This window comes from Homo sapiens, chromosome 4 (assembly GCF_000001405.40).
Source record: "Homo sapiens chromosome 4, GRCh38.p14 Primary Assembly".
In the NCBI taxonomy this organism is placed as follows: domain Eukaryota; kingdom Metazoa; phylum Chordata; class Mammalia; order Primates; family Hominidae; genus Homo; species Homo sapiens.
In genome coordinates, this window is record NC_000004.12 from 138,282,013 (window position 1) to 138,305,073 (window position 23,061).

A 23,061-nucleotide genomic window follows, 5' to 3' on the forward strand; every position below is an offset into this window, starting at 1 on the left:
GATCACTTTTGATAAATTAACAAAATAAGCAATAAATAGCAGAAACAGATCCTCAGTGAATCCAGATAAGAAAAAGAGAATTCAAAAGAAATATGCTGCCTAAGCTCAAAAAAAAAAAAAAAAAAAAATGACAGGATTAAGAATTTTGTCAGAAAACTAGACACTACAAAAAAATTTAGGAATTCTAACTAAAAGGTATACTAGTCAAAAAAGAAAACTCAATGGATAGATTCAACAGCAAATTAGACACGACTAAAGAACAAATTGGTAAACTAGAAGATAAGTGAGAAGAAAATAAGCAACCTAAAGCATGGAGGGACAAATGAATAAAACATATAGAAAAGAGTATAGAAGACATACAGGATATAGTAAAGAGGTAAAAGGGTCTATTATATGTGTAATTGGAGAAAAGGGAGATAACAGGGCAGAAGTAATACTTGAAGAGATAATGGCCTAGAATTTTCACTGATTGTTTCAGTCATATATTGGGATACTATAAAACAGTGAAAATGAATGGCCTCCGGGTACATCAGAACAACGTGGGTTAATCTCCTACATGTAATATTGAGGCAAGGAAGCCAAACACAAAGAGTACTATATGATTATGTTAACATAAAATGCAAACACAGACAAAATTATATTGCAATTTGAGAAGTCAGAACAGTGGTTATATCTTGGACAGAGGGAAGGAATACTGATTTGGTGGATCATGAGGCAGTCTTCAGAGTGTTGATAATGATCTATTTCTTAGTCTCAGCACTGGATACCTAGGCATATTTACTTTGTAATAATTCACATATTTTTTGTTTACTTTATTGTATATATGTTATATTTTACATAAAAGTTTAAAAACAAAATGAAAATAATTATTATGTGTTAGTGGGAGAAAAATTATTAATTCAAGAAACAAAAAAATTTTTTCATTCTTAAATCAACAATTACATTTTAAGATTCATATTTGAAATATTTGATTATTGGCTGGGCGTGGTGGTTCACACCTGTAATGCCAGCACTTTGGGAGGCCGAGGCAGGTGGATCACCTGAGGTCAGGAGTTTGAAATCAGCCTGGCTAACTAACATGGTGAAATACAGATACCCCATCTCTACTAAAAATACAAAATTAGCCAGGTGTGGTGGCGCATGCCTGTAATCCCAGCTACTTAGGAGACTGAGGCAGGAGAATCGCTTGAACCTGGGAGGTGGAGGTTGCAGTCAGCCAAGATCACACCATTGCACTCCAGCCTGGGCAACAAGAGCAAAATTTCATCTCAAAAAATAAAATAGAGAAATATTTAATTATTAATAAGACTGGATTTTTCTAATTTTCTAGTCTTTCTATAATTTCTATAATTTAGGACTTTCATGATTTTATAAAATGGTCTAAAACACCTTACTTTAGAAAAAAGAAACTATGATGGTGCATATACAATTTATCTTCTGCTTTCCATTTTTTCTGATTTCCAAAATAGTCAGATAGAATATGTGAATAATAAAAGCTACATGTGAATGTCTTCACTTTTTCAGAATCATGACCCTCTTTTAAATGGTAATACATGCAGGAAAATACTTCTAGTCACAATATTTACTCTAGTTTGGATATAAGGCAGCAAGTAACAAGAGGTGTTCATGTTAAACTATCTGATTAACTCGAATCCTGATTGCTTGCTTGATATAGTATCATTGTTGGGTAATAATCTTTGTGATGATATCTGTGACCTTAAATCATATTTTAATGAGGCTTGAAGAAAGTATGTGCAGTCACAAAGAGTTGAAACTATTTGATAATTTTCACAAGAAAACATCAGCATGCCAAATATAAGTAAATGCATAAAATTATCTTCACATTATTGGGTGTGAATGCTAAAATCGAGAGGTCATTTCACTGTTTAACAAACTCTTGGGAACAGGATACTTAATCATTTATAATTGAAACTGTAAATAACTGTTGATTATGTAAGACATGAATTACTCTGACACTTGCCGAGAGAGGTCTGAAAAGGCGTTTCTTCAATCAAGTGTATGAAAAACAATACCTATCATCCTCAATAATAAATTAATGTTGAAAATGCCAAGAGAAAAGTTATAAGAATCTATATATCTCTGCATTCTTTAAAAATTTACTTTTTAGAGGCAAATCGATCCTCAAAAGAATTCGGAGAAACAAACAAATTCCACTTTATAAATCACTCATAGGTAGGATACCACCCATAATAATAAGAGACTTATAGAGGTCACTCCTTTGTTTAAAACAAAAGTTTATCCACATGCTATTGTTTCTCTACACATTTTACTGGGAGAATTGGAGGGATAGTTTCTATTCTCTGTACCATTTCTCTGGTTATACATGTACCAAATTATTTTTGAAAAATCAAATTTATTTGTAATTGGTTTCATAGAATGATAGTGTTTTCCTTATATCCTTAGCATTTTTGATTAGCCTCCACAGTTCTTTGAGTCACAAAAATTTCTTGTTCGTGCTTGGTAACTAAATTATCATATTTGTTTTGACAATTTGAAAATATCTGTTTTAAAATAATGATGGATAAATACACCAAAAATGTAACTTTTATGTAATCTTATTCTTTTAAAGAAAGATAACTTGCAAGAAAATAAAATTTAAATGTACACCACTATAAGTTTTTTCATATAAATAAATCAGTGAATGAGCAAGTGCTTAGACAGCCAGTTGAACCTCTGTCAATGGGTTTATCACATCATATTAAAATTGTTTATTTCTTTATTCTTCTAGTGCATGTAAGCACTCCATATGTAGGAGCAATATCTTATTTAAATCCCCAGGACCTTATACAATATGGTGCTCAGTAACAATTCTTGAATGAAACTGAGCCATAAAAAGTAGTCTTATTCCTAGAATGCCTCAAGGTTGAGGCAATATCTGCTGGATGTGTTTTTACTTAAAATGAAGATTGAAGAGATGTAGAATGGTAATAGATAAGGCTATTGGGACATGTACACAAACAAATCTTTACTACATTCAGGCATAGACTATTACTAGACAGGATAAACATTATAGAGTTTCTATGAAAAACATTTTTATATTTTAAGGAAATATAAAAACTAAAGTGGAATTAAAAAGGAGGATCTGTCTGTAGTGTTTGGTACACGTGGGTATTGACTAAACAGGAAAGAGACCACGATAGGGAGTAGCGGAGGAACAGGACTTCAAGGTAAGTGTAAGTGGTCTGTCTACAGAAGTAGGAACCAGAGAAGAAAAAATGACTGAGTAATCATGAGTTTAGAGTGAAATGTCATCAGAATTCGTGAGAGTAATAAACCAAGGGAAAATTTCCTTAGTCAAGGCATAATCTAGGAAAGGCATGTTGAGTTACTATTGCTGAGTGATGGTTATGGCACTTTAGGAGGTGCTCCTAGACCTTAAAAGAATTCCCTTTTGGACATTCCATTGAGAGCTCAGTGGCTTATTTCTGCCCTAAACCCCTTTCATCCTCACCTCTTCCATCTGTAGTTGTCCCAACATTCACAGATCTCTCTGCTATTTTACTTTCAAGTATTAGTGTCATGGTTTTCCACCTAAAGTTGGACTCACATAAGAATATCTTTTCTTAGGATCAATTTCCAAGTATGTGCATCAAGCATTTGACTTATCCTGTAGGTCTGGGTAGACTCTAATTTAATCTGTTCTTCCACTTACAATCCCTGGTTAAAGCTCCAAGTGAGGTTTTGGCTACACAAGCTGATGCTAAAAAAGTGCATTGAGTCTAAAAGCACCATTGTCAAGTGAGACTGGAAATTCTCATTCTACACATGCCCAATAATCTGTCTTTTGGGTAATTTCTTCCCAACCCACACTCTTTTCTCCATCAGCTCTGTGCCTATCCTACTCATAACATGCATATACATAATTGCATTTACCGTACATTTTGATTTGATTTTAAAAAGTAGTAGTGTTTTGTTTGCTTCAGGTATATCCTTATTCTTTTACTCTTATATGAATAAATGTCACTAGATTTTAATAAATCAAATATCAAAAAACTTTAGTACTCACCCATAGTCTGTGATAAAATATATTTTGTGGAATGTTTCATCCTTTAAGAAATAGTTTCTCATAAAACTAATATTTCTATCTGCATCTGTGAAAATAATCAAATTTTTCAGACTATTAAACTGTGAAACAAAATGTAATTATTTGATGTTCAGCTCCTATTTTCTTAAAAACATATTATAATAAAAGAAATATTAATGCAAGCAAGAGCAAGAATGAGCCAAGATTTAATACATATTATCACCTAATTTTAAAGTATTTATTGAGTATTTGTTATATATTTAGCATGATGCTAGGCATTATGGAGTCGTGTACGTTTGAATCCTCCTAATGTGTATGGTTACAGATGTTTGGTAGATTATAAATTTATAGAAATAACTATAGTAAAGGTAGGACAATAAAGAGATGAGGACAGTTACTCATAAAACACAAAGACTTTCTTGATGACAAACAGGCATGAACATAGACAGCCTATTTAAAAATAAATAAAAATGGCCGAGTGCAGTAGCTCACGCTTGTAATTCCAGCACTTTGGAAGGCCAAGGCAGGAGGATACCTTGAGCCCAGAAGTTCAAGACCAACACCTGGGCAACAAAGGGAGACCTCGTCTCTACAAACAATTTTAAAAAAAATTATCTAGGTGTAGTGGTACATACCTGTAGTCCCAGCTACTCAGAAGGCTGAGGAGGGAAGATCACTTGAGTCCAGAAGATAGACAGCAATGTACTCTGTTTGTGCCACTGCGCTCCAGCGGGGGCGACAGAGCAAAACCCTGCCTCAAAAATTAATTAATTAATTAATTAATTAATTAATTAAATTAAAATAAAGCAGCTGGTTAAGATAAAACAATTTAACCCCACTTGGAATCAACCAAATGGAAAATATGTTTAAATACACTATTTTTTAAATTGGCCAAAATTTTAAATTATGTCGTCCAATGGTATGATACAAAGCTATGCTGCAGAGCTGTGCTGATAAATGCTTAAGGACTTGCTCTCTGGAGGGAAGTAAAATAACACCTCCTATTTGTAGCATTTGCTGATTTCTGTTGTGTAAATACTCTCACCGTGGCTGATTGCAAGCTACCAAATACACGTCACTAAACACTCGATTGTGAAGCCATGCTTACGATAGGCTTTCCTGAGCCATGTCCACAAATTTGTATACTGAGCAGTTGAGACAGAGAACGTATGATCCACAAAGCCTATAATATGTACTATCTGACCCCTTACAGAAAAAGTTTGGCAACACTTGATCTAGAAAAGAAAGTTCAAAATTTAAATATTCCATGTTTTTTAAAAAAGTTCTGTGAAATTAGATCTATCTAATCATTAGAAAATGTCTTCTGAAAAGCCAAAATGTCTGACTTTACTTCTCTAATTTCCCCAGTCCTTTGTGTGAATGTGTGTGTGTGTGTGCACATGTGTGCTTAGTGGTAAATCCACTTAAAAAGTCAAGTCCATGTACTGTTACATCAGAATTGGAAGATAGATATAAAATGCTCTAAATAAAATAGAGATTAATTGCAAATTCAAATGCATTAACATTATGTGAATGGCCAATTCAATAACTGATTATGTGAAAAATTAATTGCCTGCTTAAGTGGACAATCACACAAAACCACATATCCTGTCTCAGCCCACACAGGTGTTCCATGTCTCCCAGACTTCTCAAATGATTTGGCATTCATATGCCATGGCTAAAAAAGCCAGATGCATATTTTTAACATTCAATTATCTATTCATTCTATAAACATAATAAATGACAATTTTGTATTGGGAACTATATTAGTATTTAGGAATATAGTAAAGAAAGATAGTCCTTGACCTCAAAAAGAATGTCTCTCCCCCACTCCCTCCCCGACCATTGTTATATGTTGTAGGACGCATTCCAAAAAGTACACATTCCTAGGGCAATTAGTTTATGTCTCTGTAATGAAATGGGCAAAGAAATAAAAATGGCTACTGTTACAATTGATACTGAGAAAATGTGGTTTGGCTTGTAAAAATATTTATCAGAGTCTATTGCTTGTACCCAGAATTGCTCCCAGGATGGTGTGGAAAAAAGAGGTTGAAATTGAAAGGAGCAAATTTATTCTGCACAACTAAGTATATTTAACTTTGGATTCTACCTGGTGACTTGGGAAGTTATTTCTAAAACTTGGGAAATGGAGATGGAAGTGGATTTTGGTTAGTGTGACGATGAACTCTGGCAGTATGTTGGGGGGTCTGGAACCAAAAGAAATACATCATGAGTGAGTAATTTCCATATGCAGTCTGACCTAAGTGAGGAATTTCAAAATAACTTGGTACCCAAGTGTAGTTGGTGTCCACACTATAATGAACCTCCATTGTCTCTAAAGCCTGCTACCCAACACAATAGCCTCATATTTGTGCTTCTTTCGGAAAAGGAGACATGTCCACACTTGGGATAAAGCCCTGAGAACCAGGAAGAGACAGGCAGCAGTGGTGATAAGTGATCCAGGACTGACTGCGGAGTGAAAAATGCGCGTACTAGGTGATTGTAAGCACCACCAGGCAGGAATCATCATAAACACCAGAAATGGCACTGGACTCCTCAGATTGTGTGAGATGGAGACTTGAATTATTTTATTGGACATAAAAGAATACTTGGAGACTTGGAAACTTTCAGCTTATTATCATAAACCTGATTTTTGTTTTACATTATGCTTACTTACATCACATCAATCTCCTTCAGTGGGATACAAGCACATGTCATATTTATCTTTATATTCCTCCTGTACCAAGCTTAGTGCATTATAGAGTAGGGGCTCATTAAATTAAGCAGAAAAAGAATTTCAAAATCAGAAAGAAGAGATGATCTTAGCTTCACCATAGAAGCAATATAGAATTGACTGAGGGCTAAACTACTTTTGTCTAGTTGGGTGTCCCCAGCTAAAATAGTGACTCTAGAGTTAAGACTGGAGAAGTTTGGGAAGTGTGAATGTTGGAGAGGAGAAGTTAGATAGGACTTTTCTGTAGCAAAACCTCAAGCTAGGAAAACAAATGTTTTTAAGAGGAGAATATATTTGCCTGTTAGGTAAAGAGAAAAAAGGTGTCCCTAATGTAAATTTGATTTATTCTGTGGATCACACACAATATGGGCCAGAAATTTCTAAACATAGCAATACAATAAAAATCACTAAAAACAGATTTTTTTTAGGTTTATTAAAAGCATATGCCCATGTTCAACCTCATGGGATTCTGATATCCTTGGTCTGGGTGAAAGACTAATATCTATACTTTTACTGTATTTCCCACAACCCGTTAAAATTCTAGAGGAAATTTCCTACTCCTATTGGTCTTTCTAACTTGAGGTCTGGCATGTTTACTGAATTAATTAACAATGTGCTCACCATGCAAAATTGCTCTCTTGCCTTCATAAATTAGAAATTTGTCAATAAAAGTATTTTAATGCAACCTATTTCTCACTTTGTTTTGCTTTAAATGAATTCTCATAATACCAGATACTATATATATCAAATACACTTCTCATTCTGCTCAATAAGTAGAAAACTTAGAGAATGGCTAAAATAAGGCTCTAGGCTAGGAAAAAGACATAGCAAAAAAAAAAAAAAAAAAAGAAAAAGAAAAAAGAGTACTGAATAAACACGTTTTTATTATGTTATCAATGGCCAAGATGATATTGAAAGCACATGTAACAGTAAATATTATTTTCATGCTTCAGATTTCCAATCTACAGTCATGTTCTTGCACTTACTTTGAATACTATGGTAGATGGATGGATGGATGACAGATAGATAGATAGATATAGATAGATAGACATACAGATTCATAGATGAGACATAGATAATAGTTCAATAATATGTAGATGTATAAACATAGAGAGGTGGCTGGAGATAAAGATGGAGTTTTTTCTTAAAGTGAGAAATCTTGGAATTTAAGAAATGCCACACAAAAATACAAAAGAGAAAGGGAAATAAAGATTTCTTTCAATGTAAATTTTTCATTTGCTGTTTTACCTTAAAAATAATAATGTCAATTTCTGTCACATCGTCATGTGATTATATAATGAAGTTGGTTTCAGTATTGTCATTCATCTGTCCTAATTTCAGGTATCAGATGTATTAAGCAGTTCCAACTGAGAGTGTAACAATACCTTTTTAAAACCGTATTATAGATTCAGTGGGTACATGTGCAGATTTGTTGCATGGGTAGGGTTTGGGCTTCTAGTGAGGCCATCACCCAGATAGTGAACCTAGTACACAATAGGTAGTTTTTCAACTATCATCCCCCTATTTCAATTCACTCCCCCTTTTGGAGTTCCCATTGACTATTATTTCCATCTTTATGACCATGTGTACCCACTATTTAGCTTCCACTTATAAGTGAGAACATGTGGTATTTGATTTTCTGTGTTATTTCACTTAGGATAATGGCCTCCAGTCCAGCCATGTTATTGCAAAGGACATGATTTCATTCTTTTTTAAGTACTCCGTGGTGTATATGTACCACATTTTCTTTATCCAATCCACCATTGATGGGTGCATAGGTTGACTCCATAACTTTGCTATTGTGAATAGTGCTTTGATAAACATATGAGTGTAAGTGTCTTTTAGATAACAAAAAATCATTTTCTTTTAGGTGGATGTCTAGCAGTCAGATTGCTGGGTCAAATGGTAGTTCTGTTTTTAGTTCTTTGAGAAATCACTCAAAGAACTGTTTTCCAAAGGGGTTGAACTATTTTACATTCCTACCAACAGTGTATAAGCGTTCCCTTTTCTAGTCATTGTTGTCAATGTCTTTATTTTTTGACTTTTTAATAATAGCCATTCTGATTGGTGTGAAATGGTATTTCATTGTGGTTTTAACTTGCATTTCCCTAATGATTAGTGATGTTGAGCTGTTTTTCATTTTGTTGGCAACCTGTATGCCTTCTTTTGAGAAGTGTTTGTTCATGTCCTTTGCCCACTTTTTAACAGTTATTTGTTTTTTTCTTGTTGCTTGGTAACAGTACACTTTCAAAGACAGTTAAGAAGACATAAAAATTGTTGCAAAGCTCCTTTTCTTATAGTAGGCAGCATAGAAGTTTGGAGTCCACTCGCTACCTACAAATGTTGTGACTTAAGGGTGCCGATTATTTGAAACTATTAAGAGGGAGAAAAAATCTATCCCTCCCCCTTCTCCCATTGAAAGAGCACAATCCTAGGATAGGTGTGCTGACACTATCCCAAAGCTTTCAAAATTGCTCATATATCATCACCTGGTTTCCTTATTACACATTGTACACTCTTAGTTTTCATACACACACACACACACACACACACACACACACTTCTGGTTCTGGAAAAAGAATGTATTTCATAACTGTAGTTTGCTTTCCATGAAAACCACTATAAAATCAAAGGTATATTTTGCAAATGAGGGCATATTAAACTTGAGAACATATTGCATTTATGCCCCCAAATTTTAGTTTATGCTGTAAGCTTAGATCTAGAGAGAAAGGAAGTTCCGTGGAAGTCAAGAAAAGAACTAGGGGAAAGAGTGAGATCGAGATTATGTCTACTGTGCACTTACACCAGGTGCCATTAATTTAGCAAGTTATTAGGCAATCCAAAGGTCACAGCTGTTCCATTACTTCTTGCAGTTCCCATACAGTCAAAAGGATACTGCCCTGTCCTTGCTAGATTAATGAAAACCGACTAAGATCAGAAAAGTAATAAGTTGAAAGAAGATAATTCAGACAGTTCTAAAAGTTACCAGTAGGCCCTGTATTGCCATTTTCCCAGAGAAAGAGGATAACTACTTTCTAGGGGTGCTGGAGCCTGCTCTTGTGGACTCACTAGAGCCTATTAATAAATGTTCAGGAATTTTGTGAGCCAGGTATTACATTGTTGGTCATTTGTAATTGGCCATAGTGGGAGTATGCACAAAACAGAAAGCAGAGAATGCTACAAATCAGGGCCTTTCATTCCCCCTGAGGGCCTATATATTTACCCAGCACATACAAAAATATATCATGGTAGAATGTTTACATTTTTGAAAGATGTAAAAATAACTATTTTGTTGAAAAATGTTTACTTTTAGGCAACTGTTTCTCTTTGTCAAAATTCATAAACCTATGTCTTCATTTTTAGAAATGATCTAGAAAACACTTGCAACTCTATTAATGAGAAAGTATTAATTATCTTTAAAGTAATATTTGGGATTAAAAAATAAATTGACCTAATTTTAACCTAGCCCAATCAACCCAATGTCATTTGAAAATATTTGCTTTTCAGTATTTCCAGGGACACAGAGAGTGTTCTTTCCCTAAACCAAACTATTGACCTAAATTTAAAATTAAATTACACACACACACACACGCATACACACACATGGGTGTGCATGCAGGCACTAAAGAAGGCCACATTGTTCCAATCCAAATACAGTGATTATCATCCACAAAGAAGACACCCCTTGGGGTGTCTGAAATTTACAGGGAAGACAGCTGAGCTCCCAGCAGGCATAACCCATCTGAAGATGTCTTCCTACAAATATCACAGGTACAAAACAATATTGCCTCGCTGTTGAAATTTGACTGCCTGCTGCAATGAAAACACAGGCCTCTGTGAACACTGAATTGAGGATAAAGGACAAAATGTTTAAGTTTATTATACTTTTTATACGTGGATGTTTTGAGACAAAATTATAAAGTTTTTTAAACAAAAATATTTTAAAGCATTGAATTGAGTCCAAATATAGAAAGAAATAGGTCATGAATATCACAGTTTACGTTTATAATTTTTATAAATATTAAAGAACACATATCTTAGGAACATAATGATTTTTATACAATCATTTCTCATATTAATAATTAACTTGATCTCAGTTAATCTGGTATGTCAAGTCAATCTATGCACTGTATCAGGAGAAGACTACAGCCAACAATATTAGATAAATGGAATATACACTTAGTGTATGTTCTATAGGGAGAAAAAGCCTTTATAAAGCTTAAGACTCTTTTTTTGAGACAGAGTCTTGCACTGTTGCCTGGGCTGGAGTGCAGTGGCACGATCTCAGCTCACTGCAACCTCCGCCTCCTGGGTTCAAACGATTCTCCTGCCTCAGCCTCCTGTAGCTGGGATAACAGGTGACTGCCACCACACCCAGCTAATTTTTTTTTTTTTTTTTTTTTTTTTTTTTAGTAGAGACGGAGTTTCACTATGTTGGCCAGGCTGGTCTCAAACTCCTGACCTCATGAGTCGCCCAACTTGGCCTCCCAAAGTCCTGGGATTACAGGCGTGAGCCACCGCGCCCAGCCAAGCTTAAGACTCTTGAATCAAATATTAGTAGCAACTTAAAGCAAAATTGTTTTGCTAAGCATAAGCAATGAGAATGCCTGCTCACCAGGAACTCAAATATATTTCAATACATTTATTTTGTTATTTATTTATAGAAATAAATGACGGCATTGAAGATAAAAGTAATTGTGGATAATATATCTCTATTTCAGTTTTCCTTTTAACTATGAATTACTTTTAAACAATGAATATATTTAATTTAACTCAATTTTAGTTTGGTCATGAATGCTAAATATCCATATCTGAAAGTCTGCTCTAATATGTATTCATTTCTTTGCTGTTCCTTAAATACTTGGATTATTCTCCCACCTCAGGGTGCTTGCATCTACTATTTTCTCTGTCTGGAATGTTCTCTCTGACATCAGGGTGGTTTATTCTCTCACTTGCCCTATGCCTTTTCTTAAGTATCACACTGTTAGTGAGTCCTTCCAATGTGAAAGAGCAAATTATGCTTGTTTCCTCCATCCACATTTCATATTTCTCTTATCATTTCTCCACAGCACTTACTACCAACATACACACACACACACACACACATATACTTTTAAAATTTTATACATACAGACATATATATATGCTTTTTTAAATTCTATTGTCATAAAAGCAGGATTATTAGCTATTTTATTCACCACTAAATCTTGAGCACCTAAAGTGATACCCACATGTAGTGATAGCTCAGTTAATGAATCTTAACAGGGTCAGAAGCAACTCGAATGTTCTCTGATAGCTTCAGCATTACTTAATGGCAAAATCACAGCCATAACCAGAATTAGTACCAAAAAATTCTTCTGTTTAAATACAGTAAACAAGATTTCTGCATAATCCTGTTATGGAATCTATATAATTGTATCGTTCTATATAAAGAAAAAAGGGTTATTATAGCACCAAAGGAAAGCCATTTACAATTTTATTCCCCGAAGAATGCAAACTGTAAGAGAACAAAAAGCTCTATGACCAAAACTTTACCAAGGTGGAGAAAGTATATAGCTAAATCAACAGAATGTTATAAATATTAAATTTATTTTTATATTAGCAAAGAAATTATTATTTTACAAGTGAAAATTATACACCAATCTATAGCTTGAGACTCCATAATTTAAAGGCAGGTCACCTATACATGTAGCCCACAGTAATCACTGGGAATTTTTGCTTCTCACTGACTTGAACTTCTGAATTGGATAATAAACATCTCTATGAGATAAGAATAATCACGATTACTGGAGCACTCTCTATGTTCCAGGAGCTGTGCTTGCACTGGCCACTGTCCCAAAACAATTCTACAAAGTAGGTATTACTTTCCCATTTTTATAGATTAAAAAAAAGAGAGAGCTACTAGAATTTTTGCGCTGAATTAATATTGAAGTTATCAGAGGGCATTTGGGTACCTTCTGACCTTGTGGTTACATTAATTCTTTTAAGATTTATTAATTGAGAAACCATTACATGCAGACATTGCTTAGGGACTTAGCAATGAATAAAAGAGGTAATGATCCTGATACAAATAAGTGATTTAATTAATAAATAAGTGGGTGGAGAAGTGCCAAATATCCTTTACAGAAAAATTCTGAATTATCTATGTAAATATTCTCTCTAAGGATTTGAATCTTAACTCTTATTCATTGATTGTAGACTAAGTGTATTGGCTTATTGATTTGCTTCTAAGGAGTAGAGTGTGGAAAGTGAGGAGAGGAGAAAGAGTAACTTTACAGTGGAGAAACCTGGCAACACTAACTCAGCTAGGTGATCAAGGTCAACATTATTAGTGATGTCATGCCAATAACAAGTGCGCTTGACATGGTGAGATGAGAATGGCATCTCACCTTTGTGATCTTCCTCCTCAAAATACATAACCCTGGTCTAATTATGAGAAAAGCTTTAGATAAATCCAAATTGAAGGACAGTGTACAAAATACCTGTCCAGTACTCAACACTGTCAAGGTCATCAAAAACAAGGAAAGCCAGAGAAACTGTCACACAGGAAACAAAGGAGATTTGATAGCTAAATGTAGTGTGGTATGCTGGATCAGATCCTTGAACAGAAAAATGGCATTAGGGAATAATTAGGAAAATCTAAATAAAGTATAGAGTTGAGTTAATAATAATGTATGTTAGTTGTAAAAATGCACCATAGTAACATAAAATATTAACAATAGGAGAAACTGGGAAAGGAGTAGACAGGAACTCTCTGTAATATCTAGCAACTTTTCTGTGAGTCTAAAACTATTTAAATGCTTTTTAAAAATATATACTTACACACACACATACACACACACACACACACATTCAGCCTCTTAAACAAAAATGCAAAGAGGACATGCCCCCATTTCTGACCAAGCACATTTACTACTCTCCTAACAAAAAAAATGAGGCAAAATGGACCCCAAGATATTCAAACTGGAACCACCATGGAGGATAGTGTTTTACCTTGGATGAGTGAGGATGGCTTTACCGGCTAAGCATAAGAGAGAGACTGTAGAGTATAATTACCTGGATGAAAGATTTGGGGTTTTCTAATTTCAGGGATGGATGGGAGCTTCAAAATCTCAGCTTAACATTAGAACGTCAGGGAAGCTTTCTTTCTTGTGCGTGAGAAAAGGCTCATTAAGAATTTCTGTTACTGGAGGTGAAAATCAGAAGGGGTTACTTTGGAGATATTGGAAGTAGTCTACAAAATAAGCCAGCTATGGGAGCAGTAAACCACAGGAAAACAATTGCCAGAGATGCCTTTAGGGTGCAGGGGCAGAAAAGCTTATCTGCTCAGTGGAATGTGATCGAGTAGTCTGAGGGATTGATTCCTGACTGGGGAGACCAAGGCACCAAAGGCTCTGGTCTCCAAAGTGCCATATGAGCATTGTAGGCCTCAGGTTTAAGAGGTTTTGCCGTTGTAATTAAATATCAAAAAACGCATGAACAATGTTTGCTAGTTACAGTATGTTTTTCCCTTTGTGGAACAAGCTAGTGAACTTTTATCCCCTCATAATATAAATTTGCAATCTATGTTCCTGAAACCTTGAATGTAAAGATTCATATATAATTCTCAATTTAAGAGAAGCCCAAACATGGAAATGGGTTATGCAAAGCAGTATTATAAAGAGTAAATTCAATTTTTGCCTTGATTATTTTGTGTCTCTTGCCATGTCTACACTGATCAAAAGAAAAAGTGGAACTTCTTTTTTCCTTTTTCTTTCAAAATAAACTTTGTCCTTCTGAAAAAGAGACACACACTTCAGGCAAAATAAAAATAGGTACCTTTCTTTTGGGCACTGGCCATTTACTGCTCTTACGTATGATTGCCTTTCTCAGGTGTAATAATTTATTGCCTATTAGTTCACTATTGTGCAGGATCACTTTTCTCCCTTTGGGTGCATGGGTAACTCCATTAGTGGTAATGAACTGTGTCGTGGGTAATCACACCATTAAAACCTATCTACCTTAAACCCCAAAGCTTGAAACCCTCTCAGCTGTCAGTCCGGCAAAGAGAAAAAGAGCAATGACCTGCAAAGGTAGAGACCTGAGAACCTCTGGAGATATTAAGTTTAAGCTTAATAGTGAGTCATTAATAAATAAGATGCAGTATAATTATCAATATGAAGCACATTTAATAATTAATACCTTGCAAACAAAAAAGAAATGAAATACCGAGTGGAATTAGACAGAGGTTATATTCAGTTCCCCTTGACAATCCTGACTTGAAGGAGAATTCACAAACTGTTTAAAATTATGAAAGAGCCATTTCCCCAAAGCTCAAGAAGTGAAGCCACTTAGTAAATAGGATTCTTAACACTCATCTATCTGCGCTCTTACAAACTTTACCCATACTCGACTCTAAATGTACCACTCCTCTCATTTAATTACAACTTTTCATCTTTCAATTAAATATAAAAATGTTCGGTGTATGTGTGTGATTAATAAAAACAAGTGACAAATGTAGCTGAAATATAGCCTCTTTCATCTCTCATTTTTATGACATGGGATTCTTAGAATGGAACTTGCTGGCAGTAACTTCCAGTTTCTACTCACAATCCCAATTTTTGATAACCTATACTTTGTTGAGTAAGGGAAGAGAGCTAATATTTATTGAGCATTCACCAAAACAGATTAATTTTGCAATGGTTACCTTATGTAATTATCTAAACAAGCCTATGTAATTAAGCTTATTAACCTCAATTTTAGACCAGAAATTTGAGGCTAAGAGAGGCAAAATCACTTTCTCCAAGATTACAAGTAGTAGATTGACAATTTCATTCCTGACCTTTCTGATTCTTAAGCCTGCAGTTTTTCAATTCTGTTCCTAAATATATCTTTAAATAGGGTATGAAAGTCTTCTTGCTGCTTTGCAAATGATCATATCAAAGCAACGATGTGTTTATTTATGTAACACTTCAACCAATCACCCATATTATTTAGCAGTTTGTCAACAGGTGGGAAACCAAGGGATAATAGCATTTCTCAAGTCACTGATTTGAAAGAAAATCCAGCCATTGCACTGCATTACTGGCCAGTCAAATCTGTGATGAAAGGAAAGAATCAGGCTTTCACCATCATCAGCTCATAAACTTGGCCACGTCACCAGCCTTCCCCACTGCACTAACCCCTTTGCTCTCCTGAGAGGTTGAAAGAGACAGTTCTAATTTCTTTCTATCACTTTCAGCTTAGCATGAGCAGTTCTAGCCTTCATCATGAAATATGTTCACTTTAGGCTAAATAAAATCAGAGAGGTAACTCGGTATGTTTTAGAGTTCCCAACCGCAATGTGTCCTTTTTTTTTTTTTTTAATTCTCTTCTACTAGAAGACCAACTGCTTACCAGGATATGAGATTTTCTTAGGAATGGAATGTTTTTTTTAGTCATAATGAAGCCACACTTTTACCATCTATGCTCCCAGTGACCCCAATCTCACTTTCTCTACCAAGTGTTTTCCAGCATGCTGTGAACAGTTAGTTGTTCCATACTTTTAAAATTGAATGCCTGAGTTTATGTTTGTATTTCAGATTCTGTTCAAAATACCCCTCAATTCTATTGACATTATTTAAATTTTACAATCAAATTTTACTAAAAAACACATCTTTAAGGTAATAATGATGATAATAATTATAATACAAATAGAGCAACTGCTGTCATAAACTAGTTTATTACTTAACAAGTTTTAATAATTAATAAGTGTTAGAAAAATGACAGAATGCTTACTATCATTAGTGATTTCTTTCTCACTGAATTGAGCAATACAAGGAAGCCTTAGGTTTCAGAAATTCCCCTTCCTCAAAGGTCAGACAGGCAGGTATCATCATCTACTATGACCTAAAGGAAAATGAAAGAGAAATAAAATTGCCATGGGAAATATGAACTTGGTCTAAACTTGTCAAAAGGAATTCATCTATCCAAACAGAATTAAATTAGGATCCCCTATATACGTAGTCTCTCATAATAACAGTTGCAAAATATCACATTCAGCTAATTTCAGGAAATGCCCTCCGTGCTCTTTGGTATCTACCTGAATTCTAGTTGTCTTTCTTTCAAAGCTTCTATCATTGCATTTTCCTCCTGAAGCCATTGTTCTTACTCTGTTCCTTTCTCCATTTTGAGCTCTGTTAAATATAGGATTGTACCACAGAAACAAACATGTAACACAAACTTATTTAACATTGTAAGGCAGATAATGTCATGTGTCATTCTCATCTCTTGCCCAAGAAGCTGAGCCTCTTGAATGCAGAAATGTCTCCTTCCTATATTTCCTCACTGCAACTAGCAATGAGCTAGGCACATGTATTATACTCAATAAGTGCCCATAAACTGACGACTGGGTGAATATTAAATGATCCTCTGATGTTATTGTATGTTTCACTTTGAGCATGTTTCATCATTTGTTATTCTCTTAGTGTGTTTTATTTCCTTTTAATTTATGTTCTGATGTATATTTCTGAACCTGATATGCAAATGCTCTTTCCTTTCCTCTTGATCAATCCAAAAGTAACATTTCATTAAAATCCATCCTTAAATCCAGCCTCTTCCAGGAAGTCTCTGTGATACACCTGTGAGTATTGCTTTCCCCTTCCACAGTCATGATTTCAATGACACTGGCGTGTTCTTAAACATCATTGCCTCACACTATTCTTCAGTGTTTTCTACCACACTTTTTTTCTTTTTTGAGACAGAGTCTCTTCTTTGGGTATCTTCATTTATTTATTTATTTATTTTCTTTCTTTAGAGACAAGGTCTCACTCTGTCACCCAGGCTGGAGTACAGTGTCAAGATCATAGGTCACTGCAGGCTTGACCTCTTGGGGTCAAGTGATCCTCTCACCTCAGCCTTCTGAGAGGCTGGGACTCAGTGACTTGGAGAAGGTGTGGGGAAGAGAGAGAGAGAGAGAGAGAGAGAGAGAGAGAGAGAGAGAGAGAGAGAGAGAGAGAGAGAGACTGTGTTGTAACAGGCATGCTTTTCAGTTGCCAGCCCAATCCCCTTTCCTTAGTAAGAGTCTCCTCTACCCTTCAGCATCAGCTCTTATGGCCCCCCTCAACTCTTTATCTCTTAGTTTCTCAATTTACAATTAATTTGATGAGAATAATAAATTATTTCCTGGCCAGTAAAGAAACTGAATGAGGCAAACATCATTAGAGCTTAATTTAACAAATTAGTGTTCAACTGTGTTGACCCTAAGCAATGACGAGTCCCGGGCATAATAACATGCTGTGTGAATTCTGATGGTGTCTCTCTGTGACTCACAGTCATCACTGCTTCTTGTTGCTCTAGTTGAATCTATTCTTTACTGGCACCCCTTCCAGTTCCTCATAGGCCTGTGGTGCTTTATGTTTTCCACAGCACTGAAGTAAGTTGGAAAAGTCAGTGACATTTCCACAAAGCTTTATGAATAATCAAAAGGGCGAGTCTCACGTCCATGTCTCTTGATTCTACGCATGCTGTTTTCCATGCCCCCTAATCCTGTCCCTTCTTATTCCTTTGCTTCCTCCTGTTTCCCTGTTAAGACTCCCCTAAGACACCTTCTTTTGCAGAAAGTCTTTGCTGACCTCCCAGGCTAGCCTTGCTCTTCTGTCTCTCTGCCTCTGTGTCCTGTGCATCCATCATGGTACTCACTACCTCGGTAATTGCCTGTTTACTTGTCTATCTTCCAAAGCATTCTGTCACCCACATTGAGAGTTCTCTCTAAGTGTATACTTAGAGATGTCTTTAACATCTGTGTCTCTGCTAGAAAGCATTAGGGTGCCTGATAATATAAATTTGAATGAATGAATGAATGAAAATTTGAAGGAAGGCATGAATGAATACCTGTATTCATGAACAGCTATCTCCCTTTGTCTCACAGTCTAGGCTCCTTAGCCTGGTCCCCAGATTTGCCCCCTTCTTCCTTTTCATCTTCATCTCCTGTAACTTTTCTCAAGTTGCCCTGGTGATTCAAGTAGTCCAGTCATCCAGGACTTAACCTTTCTCACTTAAGCCTTGTAGTCTTACACCACAAGTCTGCCCTGGTCATTCTAGTTAAAATGCTTTCTGTTTTGTATGCAGTGAAAATCAAGGTTAGGCTTAAATGTTGCTGCCTGTATGTTCCCTCAGCATTTTGATCATAACACTAATTTAGCACAGATTACATTGTATCCTGGCTGGTGATCTATCTATCTTTCCTGCCACACTGAACCCTTTCTTTAATGATCAAGAGCCATTTGGTTTATCTTTGTACCTTCAAGGAGATTAAATAATTTGCTTAAGATCGTAAAACTGGCCAAAAAAAAAAAAAATGCAGGCAAACCCAGGTATTTTGCCTCCAAATCCAGTACTCTAAAAATATTTCTTCTGAACATCTCTTTCTCTTTCACACTGGCTTAAGAATTTTATTACTTTTACTCATATACAAATACACACATACATACATACACATATATTTTTCTTTGTATCTTCTTTTCAAATACATGTCTCATAAAACTCTGGAAACAAATAAATGTAGTTGGTAAATGCAGAGACCCTTATTAGGGAAAATTCTGAATGGAAAACCAGGTACCAGCATATATTCCCAAAGTTATGCAAACTTCTGTCGTAGTATTTACCATGATTAGGCAGCCTCTTTTGCTGTTATTTCCTACTCCTAAATAGTTTAAGTTCTGATGAATGAGATAAAGACTAATGAAGGCCAAATAAATTGCTTTAATATTCCTACATTTGAAAAAAACCTTTTGAAAATTCCTATATGAAAACCAATTTTGGAGGAGAAACTGCCTGTCAAGCTATAATGAAGCCCAACCAACTGGCCAATCTCTGGTATATTTCTAGGCTGTGTCTCCAGACCTCTTTCACATTTGCTGACAGCAGTTCAAATACTCAACAGAGTGCCCTGGGGGCAGGAGTAAGGGAGGGAGGACTTATTTTAAGTAGGCCAAGTCGGCTTGAAATAAGTGCAGTCTGATCATAGGTCTTGGAATTTGGGGCTTTCTGAACTGTAATCCTAGCTCAGACACTGATCCCTCCTGTGACCTAGGATAAATTACTCAACCTTTTTGCCTTGGTTTCCAGATCCCCTAAATAGGGATAATAATCCTGACCTCAGAAGGCTAGCGTATGAATTAAACATCTGCAAGACCTGATCTTAACGACAGGCGAATGAAGCATCTCATTCTTGCAATATAATAACTTTTTCAACTCAATTTAACAAGAACTATTTCTGCTAAAGAAGCAAAAGGTGGCTGATTCTGGTATCTAACCAGCCTGAAATTGTTGATGCAGCCTCAAAAGGAAATCAGACTCATAAATGAAAAAAACTTGAGGCTGAAAACAAAACATTAACAAAATGTTGATTTTACCCCAAACCACCATGCCTGGTTGGTTCTTTTGCTGTAACAAGACAGTTTCGAGTTTGGCCTTCCTGAGCATTGGGATAGTAGTTAGCTTTCCTGAGCACTGCTCTCCCAAGGTAAGCCTTATCAGTATATTTCTGTTGCTTATTTCAATAGTTTGAAGATATATTTAGTTGAAGAAAGATTCAAACTATGATCACTAACAACTCAAGGACAAGACTTTTTGATAACTGGAAGTTCTATCAAAAGTGATATTTTATACAAAAATTATCTGGGCATGGTGGTGTGTGCCTGTATTCCCAGCACTTTCAAAAGCCTAGGTGGGCAGATCACTTGAGCCCAGGAATTCGAGACCAGCCTGGGCAACATAATGAGACTGTGTCTCTGAAAAAAAAAATTAGCCAGGTGTGGTGACATGCACCTATAGTCCCAGCTACTCAGGAGGCTGAAGTGGGAGGATCGCTTAAGCCTGGGAAGTTGAGGCCACAGTGAGCCATGATCGCACCACTGCACTCCAACCTGGGTTGAAAGCAAGACTCTGTTTTGAAAAAACAAAATATATATATATAGAGAGAAAAGTAAGATTCTGTTATTTTAGCAATACAATTAAATATGTATAGATTAAAGTTACTTTTAGAGTAAGTGAGGAATGTGTTCTAGAACATCATATATAATTCCAAATTCATGCAGATTAAGATTAATATTTCCAAAGGAAAAAAATGTGAAAGAGGAAATGCATTCTTGGAAAGGTTGACTCCAAAACCAGCAAAATGTATCCTTACATTCCTGCTGCTTTTTCTTTTCTTAGCATTATATCTGTCTCATAAAACACAGAGTCGGCCGGGTGTGGTGGCTCATGCCTGTAATCCTAGCAGTTTGGGAGGCCAAGGTGGGCAGATTGCCTGAGCTCAGGAGTTTGAGACCAGCCTGGGCAACACGGTGAAACCCCATCTCTACTAAAATACAAAAAAATTAGCCGGGCGTGGTGGCGTGTGCCTGTAGTCCCAGCTACTTGGGAGGCTGAGGCAGGAGAATTGCTTGAACCCAAGAGGCGGAGGTTGCAGTGAGCTGAGATCATGCCACTGCACTCCAGCCGGGTCGACAAAAAAAACCCAGTCTGTCCTAAATTAACAATAAAATAGAACATGGTCAGTATTTGTCTTTGAATTAGTATCTATTCTGTGTAACAAACTACCCCAGAACTTAGTGGCTTAAAACAATAATATTTACTATCTCACATATCTGTTGGTCAGAAATCTGGGCATGGCATAACTGGGTCCTCTGGCCCAGGGTCTTGCACAGTCATGATGCAATCAAGGTGTTAAAGAAGTTGCAGTCATCTCAAACCTCAACTGGGGGTCAGCTTCCCCGCTCACTTGGAACTTGGTTGCTGGCAGGATACAGTTCTTCATAGGCTATTAGACTGGGCCTCAGTTCCCCACCAGCTATTGGCCCGAGGCCACTCTCAGCTCCTTGCCACATGGGTCTTTCCATAGGGCAGCCCATAACGTAGCAACTCATCTTACCAAAACACACAAGCAAAAAGTGCTGAAGAGAGAGAGAGAGATGGAATATGCCAACAAGGCTGAAGTCAATCTCTTGTAAATTAATATCAGAGGCGACATCCCATCCCATTTGCCATAGTCTATTGATAGAAGTGAGTTGCTAGCTCCAGCTCACACTCAAGGGAAGGAGATTACACAAGGCTATAAATACCAGAAGGCGGAGGTGATCATTGGAGGCCATCTTAAAAGGCTACCTATGGCTGACTTCTGCATACTGTATACTACACCTAACTTCCTTTCCAACATTCCTGAGAGTCAAGAGTGTTTTTTAGTATTAGCATATGCTTTATTTCCCAGTAAATACTTGTATGACATTGCTATAAGATGTTTAAAAACTCTTAAAGATAACAGTATATGTTAAAAAAAAAAAAAAAGGACAAGAGTTAAGCAAATCATTCGGAGATGTGTCACTAACGGTCTGGGGGTCTGTGTAAAGGACAAGGCAGCATTATCCTGTGACAAGAGCAACGACTTGTTTTATAATTCCTTCAGACTGATTCCATGGCTCTCACATAATGCAATTCTTAAAAATTCGGGGGAAAAAAGCTTAGATTTATTTTAAAGCATTAGTTCATGCCCATAAAGTGAGATTTTTACTAACGTGCTATGTCACATTATCTCAAGCTTATGTAAAATATGACCACATTCTATGTCTCTGTGACTATGTAAATAGTGACTATGTGAATGCTTGTAAAAATAAGGCTTATATTCCATATATGTCACTGTGTGAAATGTTTTTGAAATTTAATCCATTAGCTCATTTGGACCATGGTGTTAATTCAAAGTCATATGCTTGATATTCATGTAAGTTTTCTAGTTTTGCAAGAGAAAACATTGTTGCTAAAATTCTTATCCTCCTCTAGGTTGGTTTCATATATATACACACACACACACACACACACACACACATATACACACATAGACATATATGTATATATACCTAAACACGTACATATTTGTACAACATATGTATATTTGTGGGCATATAAAGATTGTGGATAGATGGGGAGAATTTATCACCACCCTTATGAAAACAACTCAAGGTACATTACCTTCAAAAAGAGGGTCAACATCATGATTTATATATTCCTCCTCAACAGTCATCATTTGTTTGCAAAGAAAGTGGTTATCTGAGAATACCCATTCTACTTTTTTTCTGATATTGGTGAATATGAATTTGATTAGAAATGCTACTTTTAATATGTTTGCTTAGAGTCCTGTTACAGTTGTGACAGATACTTTTACTTTTCAGTAAATTCTTTTTTAAAAAAATTTTTCCTTCACTCTGAAATGTTTTATACTTGTTATTTCCAAATTTATGGCTATGTAGATTGCTTTCAGCTTAGTGAT

At 35.8% G+C, this 23,061-nt stretch overlaps 1 long non-coding RNA gene across 1 annotated transcript in view; it reads right to left on the bottom strand.

The window, feature by feature from the left end:
• Window positions 1-23,061, bottom strand: part of LINC00498 (long intergenic non-protein coding RNA 498) — a 35,573-nt gene that overhangs the window by 4,898 nt on the left and 7,614 nt on the right. Inside the window, exons 2-5 of the long non-coding RNA NR_198994.1 lie at window positions 16,840-16,933; window positions 16,536-16,646; window positions 4,681-4,800; window positions 4,028-4,112 (exon numbers count right to left, since the gene is read on the bottom strand). This is a non-coding gene — a long non-coding RNA (long intergenic non-protein coding RNA 498). The remainder of the gene's footprint in view (window positions 1-4,027; window positions 4,113-4,680; window positions 4,801-16,535; window positions 16,647-16,839; window positions 16,934-23,061) is intronic.